The sequence below is a fragment of the Homo sapiens genome, chromosome 10, assembly GCF_000001405.40.
Source record: "Homo sapiens chromosome 10, GRCh38.p14 Primary Assembly".
Taxonomy (NCBI): Eukaryota; Metazoa; Chordata; class Mammalia; order Primates; family Hominidae; genus Homo; species Homo sapiens.
This window is the reverse complement of record NC_000010.11, coordinates 76,379,891-76,401,806: the sequence shown is the minus strand read 5'-3', so window position 1 is coordinate 76,401,806 and position 21,916 is coordinate 76,379,891. Positions and strand designations below refer to the sequence as shown.

Genomic DNA, 21,916 nt, shown 5'->3' with positions numbered 1-21,916 from the left:
CTGTAAGCTCACTAATGCTCTCCTCTCTTTCTCTCAACCTGTCATAGTATTTCTTATTTAATATGATACTTACATAGTTACTTCCTGACTATGCAGCAAGTACAGATCCTCCCAGGTACCCAGGGTCCTTACTCTGTGACCTGGAATACAGGGCATGTGTACCCAACCCCAACTCTCCCTGTGGTTGTGCCCAGGCCTCTGCCATGGTGGGAGGGTGAGGAGAACAAGTGGGTTAGAATCTATGTCAGGGAGGCAGAAGGCACTGGCAAATTCTCTGAGCCCCTAGCATATACCCCACTACCTTCTGGGACTTCACTCAGAAAACACAGATTCAAAAATAAAATGATTAAGAGTCTCAAGAAGATGGTGATGCTTAAACATAAAACCCCAAGAACAAGGTCCCTTTCTAAGCATGATGCCCATGAGTCCACATCAGCCCCTAGGACAATGCCAGGTATGCGGTAAAGGAAGGAATAAAAGAATAAGCAAGTAAATAAACGAATAGTTCCACAAACCACTTCTGTTTTGCTGTCCTGTGGGCACACTGGCTTGCTCTTCATGAACAAGAACATACCATCCATTGAGTCACTGGAGCATACCATCCATTGAGTCTCATCCACTGAGAGCATACCATCCATTAAGTCATTATATTGGAAGCTCAAGGGCATGGAAAGATGAATCAGAAGAAGCCTCCTTCATATAATTTGCAGCCTAGCACAGGTTGAGTATCCCTAAGCTGAAAATCCAAAATCCAAAATGCTCCGAAACCCAAAATGTTTTATGTACCAACATGACCCTCAAAGGAAATGCTCAAATGAGCATTTTGGATTTTCAGACTGGGGATGCTCAACAGGTAAGCATATAATGCAGATATTCCAAAATCTCCCCCAAAACCCCAAATTCTCAACACTTCTGACCTGAAGTATTTTTGATAAGGGGTATTCAACCTGTAGTACAGATACAGCAATGTTCTCAAACCAGTCCCCTATGAGGTAGAAAATGAATAGGAACCTGAGGTATAGAACGATGGCAGCTCAGAGATCTATATAGCTTCAGAGATCAAAAAAGCTTTTATGAAAGAGGTGACATTTAAGTGGGCCTTTAAAAAAGATGTGAGATTTAGTCATAAAGAAAATCCAGGAAATGGTAACGATGTCAGCAAAAGGTAAAAGGCAGAAAGCCAGAAATATGAACAGTACAGAGGTAATTGTGCTCAGGAAGGAGAATTGGAAAACAGCTTGAATAGGGAGTTCAAGGCCAAAGACAAAGAATCATGAAGACACTGAGTATTTCTGAGCAAAAGACTGATATTGTCAGGCAGTAATCTAGCTGCTCTAGGATACAGCTGTCTAATATTAGGTAACAAATTACCACAAATCTAACAGCTTAAAATAATACATATTTGTTGTCTCACACTTTCTGTGGGTCAGGAATCTGGATACAGCTTAGCTGTGTCCTCTGTTTTAGGCATCTCACAAGACTGTTATCAAGGTACAGACCAGGGCTGGGGTCTCATCTGAGGCTTAACTGGGGAAGCTTCCAAGCTCAAAAGATTGTTGACAGGATTCAGTTTCTTGTGGGGTCTTGGGTAGAGGGCCATAGTTCCTTACTGGCTGTTGGCCAGAGGCCACCCTCTGCTGCTGCCGTGTGGGCCTCTCCAACATAGCTTCTTACTTCATCAAGATCAGCAGGAAAAAAGTTTTCTACTAAGGCAGAAGTCACAATCCTATGTCACTTAATCATGAAAGTGACATCCCATTACTTTTTTCGATAATCTGCTGGTTACAAGCAAATCACAGGTCCCATCCACACATAAGGGGAGGAGATCTCACAAGGGTATGAACACCAGATAACAGATATTATAAGGACCATCTTAGAAGCTGCTGCCACATCATGGTAGGATGACTGGATTGGTGGAAAGACTAAATTACACAGGCCATGAAGGAAATGATTAGACTCAATGAAAAAGCACTAACTTTAGGAAGAACAGATATTTTCAAGTGGTATAATTCACAGGACTTGGCAACTAGTTCTATGTGGGAAGTAAAGACAAGGGAGAAAATAAAAGTTCCAAGGTTTTGAACTCTAGTAACTGGAACTACAGGAGCAGTTAAGAGAAAGAGAGAACAGAGGAGAGGCTGGTTGCCATTGTTTTGGGGGGAAAAAGAGAACGTACTGAATTCGAGATCCTAGAATACTATTCAAGGTGACCATATACTTAGCAATGCTAAATTTCAGGAATGCTATGAAGGCTGGAAATCTATATTTGAGAGACATCTGTACACAAATGACAGCTCATGGCATGTGATTGGATAAAGAAAATGGAGCTATCTCCAGTGATTTTATAGCTTGGAATGAGGATGCCCTGGCAACTCTCTTCTTGTGGGAATTCTAGCCTGACTTTTAGGTTAAAGTTATTCAGAAGGGCCGGAAGAGGACCTTCAAGTCAAAACAAAAACTTTAGTATGTCTGCGAGTCTGCCAAGAGCCAACTACTTCGAAAACTGATCCCACCAGGATTTTTCCAGAGACAGAGAGGTCTAGATGCAGGCAAAGGCCCCTCAAAAACACAAGCACATACACTGACATGTAAATAATAATAACAATATTATATTGTTTCTTAGTATTTTCAAATCAACTTTATTAGAAATTAAACCTTGGGATCACCTTTATTTCATTTTGCAGATGAGAAAACTGAGCCTTGCTCTAAATCACACAGACAACATCTATGACCAGAATTAGTGATGATCACTTTCTTCCATGATACAAAATTTTAGACCTGGAATCTGAATCTAAGATGCATTCTCCTAGATTTTCATGCACAAAGTCAAGGACCTACTTTATTAACATAAACACAAATGAGCACACATTTCCCAAAGCTATCAGAGGTTAATTAAATTTGGAAGCCCCAAAGACCCAAATTTTCCAAGTGAAGAAATGATCTTGGAATACTGCATCAAGTGGGAATAAGGAACTCCTGGCCTCCCAAGAGAAACCATCCTTTTCTGAGAAACTCATGGAAAAGGTTAAGGAAACTCAGCTGGCTTCCCAGTTGTTATCTGGTACGAAACTCAGCAAACTTTCAAGCCAGACCAAAAACCCAAGGCATTCCCTGTTGCCAATCCATATCATAATCAATGTTGATTGAATGTCTGAATGTAATTTGAATGAAAAGCATTTCAAAGCACAGAGGTTCTGTTCCCAATAAGTTTAGTCTATATAATCAAATGCATTCTTTCTGGCCCAATCAGCAGAGGCTTGGCAGAATAAAGGACTTTGGTATGAGCAAAAAAATCCAAGCTTAAATCTTACAATTGCCCCTTTGAGGGTCGTTGACTAGGCAAGTTTTACAGTGGTGTACTGAAATGAATACTGCCTCTATGCAAAGCAACAGGAGGTCACATTATAATTAGAATGCAATCAGTGGAATTGGTTATGGCTTGGTTTTCTTCCTGAAATGACAATCTATGCCACATCTGCCATTACATTAATATTTTCTGCATTACTAGAAGAACAGAGGGAGGGAGCTGGGGGGAGGGGGACGTCAGTGTCTTTCCACTGAGCAGCTGATAGAGTTGTCTTTAGCTAGAAGTCCGCATGAGCTAATCAAGGCCCAAACAGTTCACCTTTAAAATACCCAAACCATCTGGCAGGCTGTCCCATGATAAATCTCAATGATAAATGTCTCCGTTTTGATGTTACAAAGGAGCCGCAGACCTGCTCGGTTCTGGCACAGCTGAAAACATACTGGCAACAGTAGAATAGAACTCAGATGTCCCAAAATAGAGAAGTAAATCATTTTGACCTGCAGGGCATAATATATTTAGAGAAAGCCTGATTGTAATAAAAGGGTTGGACTCATCACAGTTTGTGCTCTAGGAGTGGCAATATATTTTTTGGTAATACTTTTCGGTTAGTGAAAACTCCAGCATGTACAATTTAAAAGCACTCATTCTTTTTCTGTTGTTCACCCCCTTGTTTTTGTGAGTCTTCAGGCATTTCCCTATGCCCCTTGTGAACTACAGCAGTCCCCTCTCTCCGGTTCTCCGACATCCTGCAGGGGAACTGTTGAGGCGAGCATGCCTTCAAAATGATTAATCTGCTCGCCTTTCAGAGGTCTGTTTTGCTGGGCCCATGGCCACTGCCAAGAAAGGACACACTGTGACCACCAGCACCAGGAAGCGAAGGCACAGCCTCCAAACTCAAGGTTAGCCCAGACCTGGTGCCGAGAGGGAATCGTAAAATAAATTATGCCGTGTGGTTTTGGAAGGGAGACTTTTATGTCCAGCCAAGCTTCAGAAACAAATTATGAAGTGGTCAGTTGGCCTTATTTATTTCATCTTTTTCCCCCACAAAGTTAGGAAATTAATTAAACAGGGATATGGAGTGTTAAGGGCAAAGTACGAAAGCTTCCCAATGCTAGTGGCCCCTGCCCCCTTCCCTGGCTGGCCTGAAGCTCAGAGTGAAGGAAGTCAGCCTACCACAGGCATGGCCAATAAAAACAGGGCCTCATCAGTTCCAAGGCTCCTGGGGAGCCGCCTGGGACCTTGTGACAACTGAGCAAAGCCCGGCCTCCTTCTCCACCCTGGTCTGGTTGGTAGCAATGGCTTGACCGATTCCCTCCACAGCTGCTGGGGTCACTTTCTGCTAACTAATGGGAAAGACAGACTTCCCATCTGCCCCCTGACAAATGGTTTAATAAAATGATTTTGCTCACACACCGAAAAGAGAAGCCAGAAACCAGCAAGGGAGGGGACGTGTCTCTAAGAAAAGGGGTTTCAATCTCATCCTTTTCATCTCCAGACAAGTTGAGGGAAAAGAGGGAAGGCAATTTCTCTGGGTGAGTAGAGTTGCGTGGCGTGGCAGAGGCTGTTTCAAAACTTCTGGGGGCCTGCAGCAATGAGAATGTGATTCCTCAGACTCTCAGGAAAATAAGTGCAAGTAAATTTGAGGTAACTATTTTCAATAAAACTTGAAAATATATATATGTATACTGACAGTCCATTTGGAGAGGAAAAGACACAATAATTCATTGGCTGTTGGCAACTCCATTGGAGACAAGTTACCCCATACCTTCCTTCTTGTCTGCCCTGGGCCAAACAACACATATCTAGTTATTTGACTATCTTCCCATAAGTCAGTTCTAGTGGTGCGGAGAGGAGACACCCACTGGATCATCGGCATCACCGGCTCTTTAATCATTTCTCTGGCTCTCACCTGAGTCCTTTCCAGGTCACTGACATCTTGGCTGATTCAGAAATGTGTAGAAAAGAGCAAGGTATTTCAGCTGACATTCCTGCAGGTTCACTGGGGAAGTAGAAAAGAAACAGTGGAAAGGGGCCCCTCTCTCTACTGGGTAAGAGAGTGCACGTGAGTGGCTATAGCTGAAAGAATCGCATCGTCACTTTCTTTCTGCACCATATGGTCTCTCCCTCTCATATCTGATTTATGACTCCCGATCACCACAGATCCTTTGGCTAGGCCACTTTCCACATGTCAACCTACTGTTGAATATTTGGATGCCAACATTTCCCCCAGGGAAAAGAAGAGACAAAGAATAATGATGTCTTTTCTTCTGTCCCCCACTGCCTCCCTACCATGTAGCGTTTCTAGTTTCTAGTTTGTATCATCTGACACAGGAAACCCAGGCTCTTTCTCTAGCCCTTCAAACGTGGCAGCTTCCAGCCATCATCTTCAATCAAAACATGCCCATAGGTTCAGGGGGAAAAACCACAGCCCATGGTAGGATGCTAAAGCCCTTAACTAACTCATCAATTCCAATCTACTAATTGGATTCCAATCTTCTCTTTTCACAAGGAACTTTTTGTATCAGGCAGCCCCAGAAAATAAATAAAATAAAATAAAGCAAAACAAAATGTCATCAGCACTATTGTATAGTACTATCTCTTACAGTTATGCAGTTTATATTCTATTCTCGCCAATTCAATTCAATTCATCGTGTTTTCACACTGTTTTAGAAATACAATTATTTCTTGATTGCCAGTAAGTGTTGAAAAATATCCATTCATTTGATAAATAATTATTGACTACCAGGTACTACCCTAGATTTAGAGCTACAAAGAGAGTTCTCAAATAATTTGACAGTCTGGCTAGAGTCATCTAATGTAAGTCTTAGATTAAGGAAAACTAATATGGGAATCTGAATACACAACAGAGAAAAGAAAAAGAACACATAAGCAAAATAACACAAATGGCTCTAATTCATGTGGTGTGGAGGCAATGCACTTTTGGGAATGGGTTCAAATGTGCTCATCAGTGACTACTGTCAGTGTTATGAGGTGACAATGTTTGTGGCATACAAGTGAAGCCAAGCTGCCCTCTGATGAGCCAAGTCTGCGTTTCATTTCCATCCAGATCCCCCATGTTGTATGGGCTGAGGGGCAATGACTACAATTGTCTGCTAAACAAACTACAGAGGAGAACCAGCTGAGATTGTTGGGCTATGAATCCAAAGATGCATATTATATAGAAAATATAATAATGAGGCAATTATGAGAGTCAGCCAAGGATACAATGGGGTGGAGTCATTGAGCAAAAGCTCTGAAAAGTTTGGAGCTGAGGGAGGACTAGAAATATGGTTTAATTCAGGTTGGTCACACTTCATACAAGAGGGTATTGCACTTACTTGCTCCTCCTGTAGTTATTCTTCTGTGGTGCCTTATTTAATCTCAGCAGTGTGTATCTATTCACCTTTTCAAGGTCAGGTGAATGTGCTAGCTTTAAGTGAAGAGTTTAGAAGTAGTATGCCTGGAACTCAAAAGCCTACTCTTCTTAGATATGTTCTACTTATGAGAATTAAGCCTAAAAGAAGGCACAAAAGAGAGGGATCACATCTCTTTTGCTGTTTTGATTTGAATTTTATTTTGTATGCCACTTGAGTAATGGCAAGCATGTTTCAGGAAATAACAATGGGAAAAACCCCTTTGGAAGATTAAACCCTGGTGCCCTTCCAGTGATTAAAGCATGCCTGGGCACATTCTCATCCAATCAATTACTAAAATACAAAAGCAGAGCAGATCAAGGTTGATAATGACATTGTATGTTTTTAAAATTAATAATAACAGTAGCACTGTAGGAATAGTAGTAATCCGCCTTGCATTCTGTTGTGAAGAGCCACACATTCAGCCCCCACTGCTTGATCACATAGACAAGTATTTTCATGGAATCAACTGCCCTCCAGAAAGCTGAGTGAGCTGACTCAAAAACAACACAGGGCCTTCATCCAAGGAGCCATAACTGGACACAGTGTAACCCCAGAGTCAACAAACCAAGGCAAGATTCTTCAGTCAGGAACACAACCTTCTCAAATGTGATACATGTGAAGAATCTTTATAAGGTCAATTTTCATCTTTGTAGAGTATTTTTTCACAAGTTGACAAAATATATGATTGCCAGTGAAAAGCAGAAGAATTTGGTCATTCACAGAAAGATGAGAGTAATACAGAACATTTGGACTCTTACCTCCCACGTACTTGATTACCTTATGCCCTCTGAAGGCAAAGATTCCAGAAAATGGACTGGAATCCCAATAGCCCAGACCTTTGTGCCTTCTAGTGTCCACATTAAAGCCATTAAACAAATGGTTTATTTAAACTTCAGTTTCTGAGAATGCCTTTTTAAATTAAAATAAAATTATCACTCCCTTGTTGTTGCATCACATTCTGTAACACCTTGTTCATTCTGGCTGCACTGGGCTATTAATGGCAAGTGTGAAGAGGGTGTATCCTGTGTTCTTCTGTCTCACAATATTTGAAAGCCATAAAGACACATAGACTAATGGAACAGAATAGAAAGCCCAGAAATAAATCCACACATTTACAGTCAACTGGTTTTCCACAAAGGTACCAAGAACACACAATGCAGAAAGGACGGTCTCCTCAATAAACAATGTTGGGAAAACTGAATATCCACAACAGAAGAAAAAAATTAGACCCTTATCTCATACCATATAATAAAATCAACTCAAAGTGGATTAAAGACTTCAACATAAGACCTGAAGCAGCGAAACCACTAGAAGGAAACATAGGGGAAAACTCCATGTCATTAGTCTGGGCAATGACTTTTTGGATGTCACCCCAAAAGCATAGGCAACAAAAGCAAAAATAAATAATTGGGATTACATCAAACTAAAAAGCTTCTGCTCATCAAAAGAAACAGTCAACAGAGTGAAAAGATAACCTACAGAATGGGAGAAAATATTTGCAAACCATGCATCTGATAAGGGGTTAATATAAAAAAATGTATAAGGACTCAAACAACTCATTATTAAGCAAACAACCCAATTAAAATATGGGCAAAGGACCTGAACAGACATATTTCAAAAGAAGACATACAAATGATCAACAGGTGTATAAAAAATGTTTAACACCATTAATCATCAGGGAATGCAAATTAAAACCAAAATGAGATATCACTTCACATCTGTTAAAATGGCTATTATCAAAAAGCTAGAAGGTAAGTATTCATAAGGATGTGGGAAAAAGGGAACCCATGTACATTACCAGTGGGAATGTAAGTTAAAAAACAGTATGGAGATTCCTCAATTAAAAATACAGTTATTATACATATAACCTAGCAATCCCACCAAAAGAAATGAATGTATCCAAAAGAAATGAAATCAGTATGTAGGAGAGATATCTGCACTCCTATGCAGCAATTATTCACAATAACCAAAGTATGGAATCAGTCTACGGTTCCATCAATGAATGAATGGATTAAGAAAGTGTGGTGTACTTGTACACAATGAACTACTATTTAGCCTTAATAAAGGACATCTTGTCATTTGCAACAACATGGATGAACCTGGAGATTATGTTTAGTAAAATATGCCTGGCAAAGAAAGACAAATACCACATGATCTCACTTATATGTGGATCCTAAAAAAGTTAAACTCATTGAAGCAGAGAGGAGAATGGTGGTTACTGGGGACTGCTGGGAGTATAAGTAAGTTGGGAAGATATTGGTCAAAGGATACAAAATTTCAATTAAATAGGAGAAATAAGTTCAAGAAACCTATTGTACAACAGGGTGACTATAGATTATAACAATATGTTGTATTCTTGAAAATTACTAAGAGTATATTTTGAGCATTCTCACTACAAAAAAAAATAATAAACTATGTGACACAATGCACATACAGGTTAAGCACCCCAATCTGAGAATCTGATATCCTAAATACTCAAAAATCTGAAACTTGTTGGACACCAATGTGACACTCAAAAAAAATGCTCACTGGAGCATTTTGGATTTTTGATTTTCAGATCTGGGATGCTCAGCTGGTAAGTATAATACAAATATTCTAAAATCCCAAAAAATGTGAAATCCAAAATACTTCCAGTGCCATTTCAGATAAGGGATACTCAATCTGTATTATTTAACCCCTTTCAGCCATTCCACAGTGTATTCATAATTCAAAACATTTGTACATGACAAACATATACAATTTTTGTCTGTTGATTTAAAAACATATTTTAAAAGAAAAGAATCTGAGAGCCAGCAGATAGAACAAGTTTGTTACGTTGACCTACAAGCCTTCCAACTCTGTCTTTTCTGTTCCACTGTGAATGAAGATGGGATTACCGAGATAATATTGGAGACTAAGCTACATAAACTGAATATATTAATGCAAATTATCATCAGAAAATAGAATTAGCTGTACTAAGCAATCAATGAGATTATTCCTAACTTATGGTCAACATTATTAAAGCTTGGCTTTTCTCCTTATTTAGCTCTGTCAAAACTACTGCTCAGCTTGTCAGCAATCAGACACTATTCCAACATAAGACTAAAGTTTGGTAGCCCAGACAATGGGTAAATATTTTTAAAATATCATTTATGTTAACAGATCAAGACTCTGTGGTGATACAGTCTCCATAAATCCATAGACAGATATAATTTGCATAGACTTCAAAGTAGACTAAGAACAGTTACCTTAAATAAGGCATTTTACTACCTAATCTCTAACCTATTCATGCAAAAAAGCTTCTTATGACCATAAAAGATTAGGCTCCATGAAAGACAAGAGCTATGAGAATCAGGAGCTGGGCTATCCAAAGCTTTCATTATTTTGATTAAAGAAAGAGTGGACTGCATGAATAGCTTTCTGGTTGTTTTATTTCATGCTGAATAAGGTCACCAAGGGAGAATAATTTTCACTACCAAAAATTAGCCTAAACCTTAGTTTAATTTGCATGGCTTTCCACCCTAAGTGTGTATTCTGTCAAGCATAAACTATATTTACCAGACATAATGGATCTTGGCAGGTCAGAAAATTGCAGTTTGGTCTCTATTACACATAAACCACCAATGGAGAAAATGCTATCAGGATTGCCAATAAAATACATAGTAGGTTATCTTTACTTATCCTGCAGGCAGCAACACTGAGATCCCTTCTGGTTTTCCACAAAACGAAACAAAACCAAAATAAGCCTCATCAGCTTCTGGTAACATTGTAGGCTATCTGTCAGGGACATGATGCCAAATGATCATCACGAATCCCACTCTCTTTGTCTGCAGCTAAGGGCACTCCAGGAGGGAGTGAACAACCACCTTCAAATAAGCTTAAGTTGCTATACAGAAAGAGGAAGACTCCTTCCTGGATTCCTGGCTTCCTAAAATCTGGGAATGTGACTACATTCTGCCAACATGCATTTTAGGCACAGCTGACCTCTTTGGAATATTGGTTAGAGGTTTTATTCCTGTTCATAGTTGCTAAATTGTGAATAATTTTATGAAAGAATGGTGTCACTGCAGAGGGAAAATATTTCCATTGGATGGTAAGTTCTTGGGTTCTATGACTATCATATGTTGAAAATTCCTAAATCTTTTTCTCTAGAACCAAGAATGCTAACTCTCTCCACGTGAATACACAAACAGGCCCCAAATAAAACTTATCACCTTTGGTGAACTCCCTTCATACCTTCCAAAAATCTTTTCCACATCAGTACATGTGTCAAGAAATGGTACTGCTATCCAGGAGTAAATCAGAGGGGAAGGGGGCTGACAAATCTGAATGGACCCTGGCTACTGAGCTGGAGCAGAGTCCAAGGTTCCCCTACCCCCTACTGTACCCAGCATTCATTATTATTTAGGGAATTATGGGGGCATACAGGCAGTTTAAGGATTTTGAAGACCTGGATGGGAGGGGCAATGAAGGGGCACTCTTGGGGGAGCTGCCATGGAAGTATTTCAGCCAGAATGGCTACACAGGTACATACTGACTGAATACCAGTCATGGTGCCATCATCCACTTAACATTGAGTTTTCTTGTTTTTTTTTTTTTTGTTCTGCTTAATTTGCAAAACAATCTTTCAATGCTATCTACCACCACCACTGCCCCATACAATTTCATTAGTTGCATCATGGAAGCCTTATCACATCTTGGCTAGTTTAGTGCAACTTCCTACCTGATCTCCCTGCCTCCATTCTGACCCTCCTTCTACCCTTTTACTTCTCCCCAGAGGGATCATTCTAAAAAGTCAATTCTTAGACATTGCCCCAAAGAAAGTATACAAATGGCTAATGAGCACATGAAAAGATGGGGAAAGGCAAATCAAAACCACAATGAGATACCACCTTATATCCATTAGGATAGCTATTTTTAAAAGCGAGCAAACAAGCAAAAATCAGAAAATAATAAATGTTGATGAGCCTGTGGAATAATTGGAATCATGTGCATTGTTGGTAGGATTGTAAAATGGTACAGCTGCTATGGAAAACAGTATGGTAACTCTTTAAGAAATTAAAAATAAAATTACTACATAATCTGGCCATTTTAAATCTGTATATATACTCAGAAGAATCGGAAACAAGGTCTCAAAGATTTATCTATAGGTCTTAAGAAGCATTTGTACATCCATGTACAGAGCTATTCATAATAGATAAAAGGCAGAAGCAGCCCAAATGACCATCAACAAGATGAATGAATAAACAAAATGTGGCATATAGATACAATTGGATATTATTCAGCCTAAAAAAGAAAGGAAATTTTGACACATGCTGCTGCATGGATGAATTTTGAGGACATTATGCTAAGCGAAATAAGTAAGCACAAAAGTCCACATAATATTAATTTCATTTATATGAGGTACTTAGAGTAGTGAAGTTCACAGATATAGAAAGTAGAATGGTGGATTCTAGAGGGGAGGAGTGAATGGGAAGTTAGTGTTTAATGAGTATGGAGTTTCAGTTTTGCAGGATGAAAAGATTCTGGAGATGGATGGTGGTCATCGTGGTACCACAATGTGAAGGTACTTAACGCCACTGAACTGTACACTTAAAAATGATTTAAATGGTGAATTTTAAGTTTTATATATTTTACTACAATAAAAAAGGCAAATGCTAATAAATACATGGCTAATTGCTAGGAGGAAAACAGAAGAGTCAATTCAGTAACATCACCATCCTGGTGATCTCTCAGTATGGTGATCAAGCAATCATTGGATTGCTTGGGCCCTTCTAATTTTATTCCTGTCAATCTCTCCAGCCTCACCATTCGAAACTTGCCACCACAGCTCTGAATTCTAGCACTGAGGAGCAACTTGCAATTGCCTGAATATGCCGTACTCACTTGCCTGGGGGCTTTCTACATGCCGTTCTCCCTTCATGAGGCATTTTCCCATTCCAACCATCTACCCACAGCCCAGCTAACTACTGTCCATTTTATTAGTCCTTCAAGTCTCAAACTAGGGTCTGTTAATCCTTCATAACTCAGTTTAGGTATCACTTCTTCAAGGGAGCCTTCCTTTATCTACTCCCTGCTCCCTGTCCTGTGTCAGGGTTAGGCAGGTCTTCTGCATATGTCCCTAGTAACCTGATCACCTCCACTGATTAAGAGCATAAACACTGGAGCCAGACTGCCTGAGTTTGAAGTCCAGCTTTGCCACTTATTATGTGACCTTAGGCAAGCTACTTAGCTCCATGACTTCAGATTCTTGTTTAAAGGAGGCAATGCTAATACTACTTACCTCATGAATTGTAGTGAGGATTAAATGAACTACTTGCTAGAAAGCAGTATGAATAATGTCTAGCACATAATGAAGTCACATACAATATCTCCAATTCCATTTGATCTTCAACATGACTATCCTCCCACCAGAAGGTGGTATCCGTGTCCCCTTCCCTTGAATCAGTGTGTACGTGTGACTTCCAAGAATAAGTCAGAAAAACTTCTGATGCAGCTTCTGCTTTGCTGACTAGAATGCATGGGCATGAAACCTTGCACTTTCATGTAAATCCAACTACCCTGAGGCTGCCAAACCACAAGCAAGCCAGGCCACAAGGAGTATGTAGGCATTTCAGTTAGAAATCCTCATCTGTGGGTCCTCCTAGCCCAAACAGATGAATGTATGAACATGAGTCTTCAGATCATTCCCATTTCCAGTCAAGTCAGCCCTAGCATTCATGTCTTCCCAGCTGAGGGTGAAGACATTGTGATGTAGAGAAAAAGCTATTACCTTATGCTTTCTGAATCCCTGACCCACAGAAACCATGAGCTGAATACAACGGTGGTTTTAGTTACTAAACTTTTGGTATAACTTGTTACACAGCAACAGAAACTAGAAGATCTACATAAGTGGTCTCTATGGCATCATCATTATCATCCTCATTACTATATTATCCAAGCACTTAATACAATAATACTTAGAACATAGATATCTACTGACCTAGCTGTATCGCACATTTCATTCTAAGCTCCTTGTTACAGGATCTAGCATGGTACCAGACTCATAATACATACTACATTTTTCGTTCAAAGAATGAATGAATTCCTTCAAACTAACTATATCTACAGTGTTCTGACACTTAGCCTCTCAGTCACACAAAGATGACAGGACAATGATGTTTGACCCAGTCAAAAAAATCACTCACAGTCTGTTTTATTGTGCAATGAGAACCACTGCTGATATTTCAGTGAACTTCTTCAAAGTCTTGTGTGGGTCCATTAAATTGAGATGCTCTATGTAGCTTTTAGTACTTTTCCCCACTTGTTATTATAAGCACAATCTCATGGTACTCTTTTAAAACTTATTTTTGTGCTCTGCCTATGGAATAACCATTCTTTATTCCTTTACTTTCTTAATAATCTTGCTTTCACTTAAAAAATTTAAATTTAAGTTTAAAAAGACTTATTTTTGTGGGTTAAATAATATATGATCATCTGAATATACCACTTTTTTTTTTTTTGAAACAGTGTTTCATTCTGTCCCCCAGGCTGGAGTGCAGCGGCATGATCATACCTCGCTGCAGCTTCTACCTCCTGGTCTCAATCTAGCCTCCTGCCTCAGCCTTCCAAGTAGCTGGGATTACACGCACGTGCACCACCATGCCCAGCTAATTTTTATAGTTTTTGCAGAGACAGGGTTTTGCCATATTGCCCGGGCTGGTCTCAAACTCCTGGGCTCAAGAGATTTGCCCACCTCAGCCTCCCAAAATGCTGGGTTATAGGCATGAGCCACTATGCCTGCTCTGAATATACCACATTTCTAATCATTTCACCTATTGTTAAATATTTAGGCTGTTTTCAGTTTTCCTTCATATAAACAAGGCTATGAAGAATTACTTTCAGTCTTTTATATACATCTTTGACTGCATTTTTGTGTTCTAAAAAATTGTTGAGCCAAAGGGTAGCTACCATATTTTTGTAGTAATATAAAAATTATCAAATTGCTTTCCAGAAACATTGAAATAAGTTACTTCTAAAAAGAAAGATGTAAGAAAGATAGCATCATTGTGCCCTAACATTTATTAAGTATTACCATTTCATTTTAACCCAAAATTTTATAGGCCCTCAGTAATAGTTTTATTTACGAATATTTCATTTTAAGTTTTTAAGTAAGTTTGAGCTTTTTATGTTTACTTGCATTTCTAGTTTTGTATAATCACATCTTTTGTCCAACATTTCTACTGGATTTTTTGTTGTTGTTCAGTAGAACTCGTAAAAGCTCTTCCTATAATAAAGGAATAAAATATTTAATTATATTTTAAAATATTATCTCCTAGCTTATTTTCCTTAATTTTGCTTATAATGCTACAGATATATAAAAATACACATTTTTATGTTATAAAATCTGTCAATAATTTATTTTATAGAATTGCAATATTAGTTTAACATTTTTGACAAATTAGGACATTGGCCCTATTCACAGTTTTTCATAAAACTCAAATATGGGGTGTGATATTGTAATGTTTAAACAATCCTGTTATCTTGTAGGTGTTAAGAACATGTTCCTCCACCAAGATCAAGGCTGACAAATAAAACTGAAAAGAAACTACATTGTATCCTCTCAACAGCTATTCCCAAACCAGCCAATGCAAAGGCATCAACTTATGGTCCCTATTATCACATTTTAGTCCAACAAACTTCCCCATGTAGAAGACAGACTATTAGTATTAACCGAAAATGGGTGAGCAGCATTAGTAACTTGCAACTTTGAGAGATAGAGGGTCTAAATCTTTTCTTTAACAGAATTTCTAGCTTTGGATTTGAAGGTTATTCATTCATTTATGCATTTAATAAATATTTTTTCAGCTCTCTACTCACTTGGTAATCCAAATAAAGCCAAGGACATATAAAATATATAGACTTTGTGCTTAAGAAGACCCTATCCTTGTCAAGTTTAGGAGAGATTAACACATAAACAAACACTTGTAATAATAGCCAGATATGTCAAGTTGATAAAATCATTCAAAATAATTTTTATATTACTGACCAACACTGAAAGAATTTCTCCCTTTTAGAGTTCTAATCAAGTGTTCAAAGTCCCTCTAGATTTTCTTTGTCCTCTTTTAAGTTATATCATTATATTGCTACTTGTTACAGTAAAATTTACCAGAAACAAGATGAGTCAACTAAGATATATCATTAGCAGCAAATATTTATTGAGCATTTACTATGGGCACTCTGGAGATATTAAGAAGTATGAGACAAAGTTCCTGCCAAACAATAGGTTAAAGTCAACTTAAGAAAACAAGATGCATACACATTAAATGGCAATTTTAATAAGCAGCAAATGAATGAAGAAGCACCTGAGTGCTATAGAGAGTCAAAGAAGAAAGAGTTCACTCCAGGAAATGAGGATAAGGTGGGATATGAAGGAGCTAGAAAACTTCAACAGAAGGAAGACCAAAGGACTTCCAGAAATGTAGAGCATGATGAGGAAAATCAGGCCAAACAGAAGCAGCAAGATGGCATGTTAGTAAAGAGATTCGGGACACAAGACTACTACACTCTGCCTGCTTCTTTTACTACTACTAGATTTTGAAAAACCAGAATAATTGAGTTCAGAGATCACAGACAGACCATTCATACTGCAAACTATACCTCCTTCACTAAGGCCCCTCTCTGAAAGTATCATACCTTTTGGGGTCTCCCAGGATACCGACCTGTGATGAGGCATTCTGTAAACAACGCTATGAACATTACTGTATAAATTGGTTGGTACTTATTTTTAGAGCTCCCTTAGACTGTTTAGGAAGCACCAACAGAAATAGAGTACACTCGATTGGTACATAAAAGTAAAAGCAAAATAAAAGTTTCAGGTAAAGTAGAGCCATAAATCTAGGAATTTAAGCTCCTCTCCTCGGGCAACTGAAAGCCAATTCCGTATTTCCTCTCACTCACTGACAGCCTCTTGGGCATTCAAATGGGAAAGAGTTGAAAACCAGGATTTCCGGTCCAATCTAATACTGGACAACACTTAATGCCTTAAGTAGATTAATAATACTCTTGCTATTGGAATTTTGCCTTTCACCACCTTTTGCCATAAGCTTTGCCTGTACTTGATCTACAGGGAGGCTGAATGCTGAAGAGGCTTTTCCCAGACCTGCTCTCATTCAGCATGCCGTCTGGAACTGACAACCCAATTTCGACACCAATCAATCAGTAAGAATTTATTGACTGCTATTATGTTCCCTATACTACCTGTGATATTGGCAGAGACCTAGAAGAATTATAAAACATGGCTGCTTTCTCAAAGAAGATAGAATTGAGTTGGGTTTTCAATATTAACACATGTGGAAGAAATACAAATCCAAGCAAAATCATCATCAGTACAAAGCTCTAAATTTTTGAAGGGTCTAGACTTTACGTACTAAAGAGAACAGCTCAGGGGACAAATGGGAGCTCACAGAGTTGTGGAAACCTTCCTGGGACGGAAAGTCCTGAACTGGCCTCAAAGAAAACAGCAGAGAGAAGACAGTCTAGAATAAAGTAATAACATAAGTGAAGATGAGGTCCAATTGTGGGGTAATGAAGAAAGAGCCTTACTGGAGAGCAGACAGTTGGAGCAGAAAGATAGCAGTTTAGCTAGAAAAAGAAAATTGGATATTAGACAGACAGGTCTGGATATAACATTCGGTATAAAATATGAAATTTTGTTTTCACATGTGTCTCTCTCCATTTCTTTATATCATTTCCCTGGCCGAAACTTCTCTGACATCTGTAACATCTCGCCAAGGTATCTGGCATATAGTAGATAACAAATATCAATTGAATGAATAAATGAATACATTGGTTAATAGATAAATGTATAAGAGTGAATTCTACCTAAAAGATGTTGATCCAAGCATGTTTTTTAATATGAAAAATGACATAAACTTTACTGTAAATGTCATGCTACCCTCAGTCAAACACCCAAAGAACAGGGAAACCATTCATTCAGCAAGAATGACTGAACACATCCTATGGACATAGCACAGTGAACAGGACAGATTAAGGACCATGCTCTTTGGGAGTTTACTATTTCATAGAGGTAGAAGTGGGATGGAAAGGGGGAGAGAGAGAGAAAGAGGGCTGGAGAGAGAAAGAGAAGAGAGAGAGAAAAAAAAATGGCAGGTATCAGTAAATGTCACAAGGAAAGTGACACACTGACAAATGATGGAAAGTGACTGGTGGGTAGCTGGTTGTGGCTCCTTTAAACTGAGTGGTCTCAGAAGACCTCTCTGAGGAGATGACATTCAAGCTGAAACCTCAATGTCAAAAGAAGCCAATATCACAAAGATTGTACGGCAGGGCCTTCTAGTCAGGGTGGATAGTTCTATGTAGAAAAGACATTGGTGGGCCGGGCGCGGTGGCTCACGCCTGTAATCCCAGCACTTTGGGAGGCCGAGTCGGGTGGATCATGAGGTCAGGAGATCGAGACCATCCTGGCTAACAAGGTGAAACCCCGTCTCTACTAAAAATACAAAAAATTAGCCGGGCGTGGTGGCGGGCGCCTGTAGTCCCAGCTACTCGGGAGGCTGAGGCAGGAGAATGGCGTGAACCCGGGAAGCGGAGCTTGCAGTGAGCCGAGATTGCGCCACTGCAGTCCGCAGTCCGGCCTGGGCGACAGAGCGAGACTCCGTCTCAAAAAAAAAAAAAAAAAAAAAAAAAAGAAAAGACATTGGTGTACTCAAAAAACTGAAAGGTAACCACTGTGTCTGGAGTGTGGTGCAGAGCTGGAGGACAGAGGACCAGGAGCCTGTAGAGAAAACACGGCCAGTTCACTTAAGGACTGGAAGGTTCAGGAGAAACCTCCAGCTAAGAGACCAAGGCATTGGCAGGTGCCTGTTACTGAAGGGGCAAAAGATGAGCCCAGCACCCAAGGCTATGTTCTTCATAGTAATGCCCGCTGTCTTCAGATCATGTATTTGTCACTGGGCCTGGAGACACACTTGTAAATTCAGATTAGACCCCAAGATTCCAAAACCATTGCCCAATTTATGTGCAGATGATTGAGACATGTAGCTTGAGAATTCTGCTCATTTTTCACAATGGTTAGTGCAGTGACTGTGGCTCCTATAAAACCCACTAAAAACAGTAATTGTCCTTTCTCTGTGCTGAACTGTAATGGGAAAAAGGCACTTACAAACAGTGTGCTGGCTGTATTTCTCTTCCTTCTCTTCGTCTGACAGTCTGGGTAGAGTGATCAGAAAAGTGAGGTACAAGTACATGCTTCATGAAGATGGCAGCTCTTTCAGGCCCTGCCTTGGCTTGGGGGAGAGTGGGAGCAGAAACTCCCCTTCCAGATGTGCAATGAGGGAAGAAAGTCACTCTGTCCCCAGGGGACAAAGCTGTTCTTTGAATTTCAAAGGCAGATGCCCCAGAGGCCCCACCAGACTCACCCCACAAAAATGTCTGATGAATTACCATGGCAGGCATCAACTTTGCAGATTAATGGCCAAAAGGAGTTTAGTTTATGTCTCAGTGGAAGAGGATAAATTTTCTCCTGGCTTTGAGAATCTGAGGAATTGAGCAACCCAGCTAACCACAGCACCTCTCCCTTCATTCACAATGCTTTACCATGGGTCGTTTACTTTCTACATTCCCTTTCAGCAGGTTCTCATAAATTTAAGTGAAACAGACAGCATGTCTGTGCTCTGCTTCTTTTGCAATACGATGGCCACCAAGTGATTGTCTTTGGGTTGGTGTTGTTGGTGGAAAATCATCGAGGTTTGTTGTGAAATTCATTCTCAACTCATAACTCAACTAGACACTGAATTCCTATTTTTCCAACTTTAGACCATGCTGTTAAAAAGTACTGGTATCAAATTCTAAAAGTATGTCAAGGCCAAACCCCCATTCTTTGTGTGCTTGTGTGTGTACATGTGCGTAAGAATGTGTGCATGTGAGTGTGTCTATGTGTTTTAAATAATCTAGAGTCTCTACCCAGAAGTAGTACGGTATTAACTAAAATCTTAGCCCAGGAGTCAGGGTTACTATGGTCATTTTTTCCTGTCTTCACTTATTTTTCCATTGCAACAATGTGCTTTCACGTGCTGTTAAACATGATGGACAACGTTTCTATGAGAAGATATATTATTATTTGCCTACTTCCATGTCATGTGTTGCAGGACTCATCATTTATAAAAACCAATTGATGGTCTTTTTTGAACAATTACAACCTGCCTAGCCTTGTTCTAGTATTCTGGGTGGATACAAGGGAAGAATAAGCCATGATCTCTACTTCTCAATCCATCCAAGAAGAGAACAGATGAGACTTCACAGGACAATACAAGATGGTAGCTGAGTAGTAAGGCATGTGGTACACAGGAGTGTAGGTTAGAAAAATGGTCTGAAGAAAGTTTTGTAAAGTGGAGGGCATTTTCAAGGGGCTTTGAAGTATAGGTAGGAATAAGAAAGGAGCCAAAGAGCTAAAGGAGTGGGATATTCTTTTGTAAGCACGGAGATGCTTACCGGATATGAGGGTATATGTCTACTTCCATGTGAGGAGAGGGTAGTTAGTGATAAGAAAGGGACACTCCACAAGGGCTTGGAATACCAGAAAACTCTTATGGATTATTGCGAGATGGTAAATACAGGGCACAATTATGAAAATATAAGCATCATTTTCTAACTACTGGATTTAAAAGAAGTTTCAGTCCCCAGCCAATTACCAGATATGTACAGGTATTGGTGATATATATGGACTATTGTCAATTCTCCTTTTTTCAATTAGCACCAACAAAAAATTGAAGATACCAAATATCAAATAAATTACATTTTAAAGTAAATGTAATTTACTTTAAAAAGAGTCCTAAATGACGTACAAATGTTTTGAGAATTACTGGCTCCACTGTCACAGATAATTGATAAGGATAATGTAATAGTAACTCCTTTTACAGTCAGTGTCCAATGTGAGAGGTTACTTATACCAGGTAAGAGGCAATTAATGAGAATTAGATTTGCTTGCTTGTCTTAAAACATTACGGGCTTGGGAAAAGTACCCTGGTGACCATTAGAGTAACCTAGGGTACAGCCATTCCAAGCCAAAAAAAAAAAAAAAAAAGCAAAGATAAAAATTTACAATAATTAATTACTAATACATACATACATTAGTATTTTAACACAAAAATGTTAAAAATAAGGTTTTATTTGAAATTATTTATTATTCTATAGTATTTACCTTTCAGCTACATGCATTTTATTATTTAAATAAAAATAGGTTGTTAACAGTGGCAATTAACATTAATTAATAGTAGGACTAACTAAACAAATAATATGTGTGAGAAAAATATTACAGTAATGTTTCTGTCCTCTGATAAAGCAATTTGTTTTAACACTTTTTAAGCACTTTATTGGATATTTAAATTTATAGGCTATATTATGTATATTCCTCTTTTTTTTTTTTTTTTTTTTTATGAAGTGGAGTCTTGCTCTGTCGCCCAGGCTGGAGTGCAGTGGTGCAATCTCGGCTCACTGCAAGCTCCACCTCCTGGGTTTACACCATTCTCCTGCCTCAGCAACCTGAGTAGCTGAGACTACAGGCGCCCGCCACCACGCCCGACTAATTTTTTGTATTTTTAGTAGAGATGGGGTTTCACCATGTTAGCCAGGATGGTCTCGATCTCCTGACCTTGTGATCCGCCTGCCTCGGCCTCCCAAAGTGCTGGGATTACAGGTGTGAGCCATCATGCCTGGCCTATATTATGTATATTCTTAAGATACACAAACATAAGACTTTTTAAAAAGAAAATGAAAATAACATTAGAAACAGATATTACCTATAAATAATGAAAAATAACAATGACATGGAGGCAGAAAATCAACAAAGAAACTTTGAACTTAAATTGAACTCTAGATCAAATCAACCTAACAGATATTTACAGAACATTCTACCCAACAACCACAGAATATACATTCTTCTCATCTACGCATGGAATATTCTCCAAAATAGACATTTTAGGCCATAAAACAAGTCTCAATAAGTTTTAAAAACTCAAATTCATACCAAGTATTTTATTGGACCACAGTAGAATAAAACTATAAGTCGATACCAAGAGAAACTCTCAAAATTATACAAGTATGTGGAAATGAAACAACTTGCTTCTGAATGATCTTTGGATCAATGACAAAATTAAGGCAAGAATTAAAAAATTTTTTGAAACAAATGAAAACAGTGACACAACAAACCAAAACC

General features: G+C 38.9%; 1 protein-coding gene across 3 annotated transcripts in view, besides 1 other annotated feature; it reads right to left on the bottom strand.

Annotated features, from left to right (window-relative positions):
- LRMDA (leucine rich melanocyte differentiation associated) overlaps window positions 1-21,916 on the bottom strand; it is a 1,128,545-nt gene that overhangs the window by 158,362 nt on the left and 948,267 nt on the right. The window lies entirely within an intron of this gene.
- Window positions 2,813-5,048: an enhancer, noted in NCBI's record as "VISTA enhancer hs1683". NCBI's record gives its function as "enhancer in: somite[4/4] | branchial arch[3/4]" and the evidence as "EXISTENCE:transgenic organism evidence [ECO:0001131][PMID:17130149]".